The sequence below is a fragment of the Homo sapiens genome, chromosome 1, assembly GCF_000001405.40.
Source record: "Homo sapiens chromosome 1, GRCh38.p14 Primary Assembly".
Taxonomy (NCBI): Eukaryota; Metazoa; Chordata; class Mammalia; order Primates; family Hominidae; genus Homo; species Homo sapiens.
In genome coordinates, this window is record NC_000001.11 from 170,882,633 (window position 1) to 170,888,983 (window position 6,351).

Sequence of the window (6,351 nt, forward strand, 5' to 3'; positions counted from 1 at the left end):
TATGGATATTAGTCCCTGACCCGGAAAACATAAACAATTTTTGTTTAAGACAGAGTGTCCTCAGAGTTGGAAGTCTATCAGTATTGCTCAAGGTGGTACCCTGAGACTTACCAATGCCTCAGTCTAAAGATGAAACACTCAATGGTATTGCTTTTCCATTGCTAGCAAGCAAATGATGACGTTAAATTTGCTGGGCTTCAGACAGCAGAGAATATCTGGAATTGCTTGCTGGTCAAATATCTTGCTTGGCAGAGATATTTTCTCTAGGACTTCTTTGGATCAATTTCCTGACAATAAGGATCACCCTACTAGAGTAAAGAAAAAGATAGCTGGGCATTCAGAATATCAGATGCCAGTTAAGTGTATGTACAAAAACTACAATATAAGGAAATGTCCAATGTCATATGAGTGGCATGAGTGATTTGGGAATTTATAGGTCATAAAAATTCCAACTGAGATAAACAGGGAAGACTGGCAGGAGGACACTCAAACTGGAAAGATGAGGGCAAGAAATAGCTGAGATCCAATCAGAAACAAAAAGCCAGACTGTGGGAGTCAGTAGGACTATTCAGGTTTGTTTTTCCACCTCTTATTCTTCTAGGTACATGACACAATTGCATTTTCCTGCCTCATTTGAAGTTAGACATGATTGTATGACTTATACCAATGACATGTGAAGGAAAACAGTGTGCATTACTTCTGAGCAGAAGATCTAAAAGCCAGTATAGAATTTGTTATGTATCTTTTCCCTACCTCAGCAATTGTGAATCCAAATGTTGAAATGGAGTGTCTCTTAATCTGGTCTCTAGGTAACCAAGATGATCAGAGTCTGTTTACTGATTCACATTGGATATACACCTTTATTGTGGTATGCCATCAAGATTGTGAGGTTTGTTTGTTGCTGCAGCATAACCTAGCACATCCTGACTAATATACAGGGTTCCCATAAAATATATAAAATAATGAGCTAATAAAAGTAAAAATAAGAAGGAAAGCCTTAAAAAACCTAAAATTAGAAAACATTAGCTTTGGAAAAGCTAGAGGACAAGGGTTTTTTAGTTATGTGTTGTATATGAAGTCAATATATATGTGTGTGTCTATAATATATACGGTTTAGAAATGTATTTCCAAATGTTAGCCATTTCCCTATTTAATAACATATTTTCCCCTGTTTTCTCAACTCTGAAAGCAGCAGCAACAACAATACAATGGTACTTTTCAGATGTCTCCTTTATCTCTCTGTTATTAATATTCTTTATCATTTCCAAGACTGGAAATTAAAGCATTGACTCAGTTTTCTTTTTCTACCTTTGTCCACATAGAGGCTTTGTATATAGTAAACAGAGCAATTTTATTAAAACACAAGTCAGACTAAGTCACTCCTCTGCTCCATGACCTCCAATGGTTCACCATTCACTCAGAGAAAAGTCCGTCCTTGCTGGAGCTTATAAGGTCCTATGTGATCTGGCCCTCAATCACCTCTGACCTCATTTTCTTTGTGCCTTAACTTCCATGCTTAGCTGTTCCTCAACTATATATCAAGCACACTTGCTTAAGGACATTTATAGTTATTATTCTCTGTGCCAATAAGGTTCTTCCCTTAGAACATTTATGTGGCTCATTCCCTTCCTTTCCTTCTGGGCTCTGCTCAGAGACCTTCCCTGAACACTTTTCACACTTGAGTGGATTTGTCATACTCACTCTGCTGTATTTTTCTCTAGAGTATTTAAGATGATGTGATATACTACAATTTGCTTGTGTATCTGTAAATAACCTTTTTCCTTTAACTAGGACATAAGCTCCGTGAAGGCAGGTCTGTGTCTGTTTTGTTCTCTGTGGAATTCCATCACCCAGAAGAGGACCTAGCACACAGTAATAGTTCAATAATGAATTTGGATTATTCTCTCAGTGCTGAACCTCATTGCTGTGCAATATGGCTTTGAATTCCCCTTCTGTATCCCTGGACTTACTACTCAATGTCCAGTATGCTGTCCAGGGTCACAGCATGCCAGCATGATAGCACAGGACAGAAATATAAGCAGGCTTACTTCTGAGGTTCCCATATGAAAGCTATGGCAAAATTTTCACTTTCCCATGAAGAAAAAAGATAGACAAAGGCAAATTTGAAGGCATTGACATAAAGCTAAGTTTTAAATTTTATTTTTTAAAATGTGGGATAATTTCCTTACTTTTTTTGGTGCTAAAGTGTCCTTTCATTTGTTAAATAATGATAGAGTTTGATGACAGTTTCTATTTTGCTGCTTATTTGTTAGCTTTTTCCTTTTAATGGCCCATACTTGGCAAAGTGAAAAGTTGAACATCCTCAATAATACCCAATTTTTAAATATTCTAGAATTAGCTATCTCCATAAGGCAGGAAACTGAAGTCAAGAGAGATGCCATGACTTCTACATATTCGTCTATCTAGATTATAGCAGAAGAAGAACTAAAATTCATACCTCCTCATTTCCAGCAAGTTCTCTCTCTACCCAAAATTCCTGCCTCTGAAAAGCCCTTTGAGAATAATTCCCTCCCTGACGTGGAGTGTGCTTTATCCCCATAGATTTGCTTTTTTGGCCATGAAGCATTTCAGGGCTCTACAAGAAAATCAAGCCTCTTCTTTCTCATTTTTAGGGTAGTCAAAGGGTTTACACCTTACACAAAGGTAAGTTCTAATAGGGTGGAGTGAAGTGCCCGTGTTGGAAGCAATTAGAGAGGAATGAATTTCCCTCTGAAAACACGTTAGGATAGTTTAAGAGGTGAGTGTAGGGGTAATATATTCCTGAATATAATATTGCCCTGTCACTTCCTTTGCTGTCTTGGATGTCATTTTGTACATTTTTCACATTGTGTGTGTGTGTGTGTGTGTGTGTGTGTGTGCGTGTTTTGCAAATACCCACCTTAACTCTGAACTTTATTGTAGGCCAGAATTTTGTCTCCTTATATTTACTATCCACCTAACCAGAGGGCCTGCCCAGTACTCGGCACTAGGAGAACATTGAGTGTCTGCCACGTTGACTTCTGCTTTTATTTATTCTCTTTCTGAAAGGTCACTAGAGCTAAAAATTCTCAAGCTATTGAGAAATGCCACCCCCATCCATGGTACTGTATTGGCTCATGAGCTTTTTTCAGTTATCTTTCTCATTGTCTTGGCATCTGACTTTTAAGTAGACAAAGAATGCCAAGTTCATGCCAGATCACAATCTGCAAAAAAATGCTTATCACCGCTGGCAAGGAGAATGGAATATGCTCCCTTTGTAAAGATCATGGCTCAGAAAGAAGATTCAAATTCTCAGGAGCCAAACAGTTGGCTATAGTACCTTCCCACCCCTCAGATGTCCTGACTTCTATCTGGGAGGTATCTGGGCCATTAATGTAATACTCCATCATCAAGTATATATTGTGATCACCACTAGTAAGCTCAGAAAATCACTGAATTCCAGGATTAAAAGAGGCTTTAATGGTATCTTAATCCAACATCCATCCTCTTTATAGTTAAGTGATTGAAGACTGCTGGTAATTTACATAACACATTTATTGTTAGAAAGTTTTCTTTTCACACATATGAGGACTTGAAATCTTCCTTGCTGAAACTTCTACTTATTGATTGTTTATGAACTAATATTTGAACACTGAGCTCCTTATCACACTTCAGGTTCTGTGCTATGTGTTGAGGCCAGGAAGATGGATAAGGCACAGCTCCTGCTTTCAACAGCCTTATAGTTGGGTTGGAGAATTGTCATATAAATATATAATTCATACACTGTGCATAGTTCTGTATAAAAGCAGAGTGGAGGGACATATTCCCCCAATTTAGGCTGGTAAGGTAAAGGAAGGGAAGATTCCTGGAGTATATGACATGTCACCTCACTTTCTAGTTTGTTAGTCGTGCAGCAATTTAATCAGTTAATAATCAACCCAACTATATCATCCAGTCTAAAGTCTACATCTTTCCATGAACATAATAATCTTAGCTGGGGACATAGTGACTGAGTCTCCATCATGCTTTCCCCATTCCACTCCCACCCCTGTGTAGAAGCAATAAAGTTTGAGGAACTGACCTCAACTCCAGTCATAAAACCCACCCCTTGCCAGGATCCCTAACTGGAACCTATCCGTGCATAGTGTTCCATTGATGACAATTACTCGTTAAGAAGTGGGAACATTATGAAAGGAAAATTATGTTCAGTGCTTGAGAACTGTTTGCTCATTTTTTCTTTCCAGATATGAATGAGAGAACATGTAGCCTATTTTCGACTACTGGACAACTTACCTACAAGATGAAGCCAACAATGTTGTTAGCACAGAAAGACAAAATAAAACCTGGATCCTTGATCATATTACTAAACTGCTGGATCAATGAATTCTGATACACGCTGCCAAGCATGTGGGCCAATAAATGTACTCATTGTTGAAGCCAGTTTGATTTAGATTGTCTGTTATTTACGTCTAAAACCATCATAAGTATTCAACTTGTCTAAAGCCTTATTAAAGAGATATTATGTCTATGGTTTTTTATGAACAACTGCTCTAATAATATTAAGAAAGGAAAAACGTGTCTTTGGTATGCCTTGTTTTTGTGAATCAATTGTGGTTCCTAGTGCCTAAAGTCACATTTTCCTGGAGAAATGTTCTTGATTCACTTAGAGTATGGGTAACAGTTGGAAGCAATTCAGCTCCACAGGTATTGATTACATGTCTACTCTTTGCCCTGTATTATACTAGGCACCAAGGCACATGCAAAGTGGTTCTGAATAAGATATGGCTGCTTTATTCAACAAGCTTAAAATCCTTTGGAAGTCAAATGTAATCTAAGGAGCTTGAGTTCTTGTGTCATATACCCAGTCTCAAAACTTGCACTGCCTATTATGTGTCAGACATTATACATATCCTGTCTCATTTAATTTTCCCATCACCCGTTAAGGCCATTATTTATGAATGAGGAAATTAAGTTCAAAGAGGTAACTAACTTTCTCAAAGTGACTTGTCAGACATGATGGTGCTGGAAAATGAATATAAGACTAAGTACAAAACCAAAAGTATAACCAACATTTAGGTGGGATGTGAATGTGTCATTAACAGGCAAGCAAGCCTGACAGCCAGTTTATGTCTATTGTAGTTCCTCTGTCTCGGAGATATGCTCTGAAGTCAAAGGTGGTACTCAGTTGGTCCTTTAAGGGAAAAAAATCTCCCAAATCAGGCAAAGCTCCATCTGATGGCAATTAGAGCAAAAGCCAAGAGCATTAGTCTTTTGGTTATTCATCTATTCAATGAAGATTTATTATGCTCAATATATGACGGGCATTGTGCTAAACACAATGAAGAATACTAAGATTCATGAGGCTCAGTTTCTTCTCTGAAGCAGCTGTAACCTTTTAAGTAACAATAGCTGCCATGTATCAGATGTCTACTAACTGCTAGGCAGTTTTCATAAATCATCTGTAATCCTTAAATGGTATTGCAGTGTATTTTTGTTCCCATTCTCTGGATGGGAGATCTGAGACTTAGAAGGCTATACCTAAGTCACATATTCAAAGTCAAGATTTGAGAACAAGCCTAACTGAAAGCTTATGATGTCACCCAGTCATAAACATCTGAAGCCTCAGTTTGATTGGTGGGAGTGTGTAGTGTCCAACAGGTGTTCCTTTCTTATTCTCCATTCCATAATCCCCACCCCATTCTTCTCAGCGCCATATGCCTACCAAAGTGCTGTGTTTACGGCAGCCACTCAGTGGGTTCACATCATGTATTTTCAGCTGTGTGACAGAAACTATACTTTCCCTGCTGCCTATCAAGTGATTGATCTTGAGAAATCTGAGGACTGAAAATTACATTTCAAGTCCTTTTCGCCATAATAAGCATTCTTGCCTCTAGCATAGAACTGGTTATATAATTCAGACTCAAAAGTATACATCTTAAACACTTACTATATATGCTAGGCACTTTCACATATGTTGTTTCATGACTTTTATTTTGCGAATAATGAAACCGAAGGTATAGTAAATTGTTCAAGGTCACTCACATTTTAAGTGAAGGTCCAAGATTCAAAATCCAGTACTCTCTGTCTAGCATATTTTTAAGAATACATTCAGCTTTCAGTATATTTTTAAGGATATGTCTAAGTCTGATATATATTCTGCTACACCAGATGTGAATGCTATTGGTTTTTGTATGGTGAGAACTACTTTTATTTAAAGCATTTTCTGTGTTTCATCCTCTCATTCCACTTCCATTATTACTTTCAGAATGTTTTATGTCTATGTAACCTCTGCTTTTTTCCTTGGTGTCTCATAATTACTGATCCTGGCTCCAAACTCTCTCCTATAACTATTCCCAGAGGCCATCCTCACTA

The 6,351-nt window shown here is 37.7% G+C and overlaps 1 long non-coding RNA gene across 1 annotated transcript; it reads left to right on the plus strand.

Annotated features, from left to right (window-relative positions):
• The first annotated feature begins 295 nt into the window (after positions 1–295).
• On the plus strand, positions 296–4,419 carry LOC124904455 (uncharacterized). Its single transcript, XR_007066730.1, has 2 exons — positions 296–572; positions 4,224–4,419. It is a non-coding gene; the product is annotated as an uncharacterized LOC124904455 (long non-coding RNA).
• Positions 4,420–6,351: the final 1,932 nt, after the last annotated feature.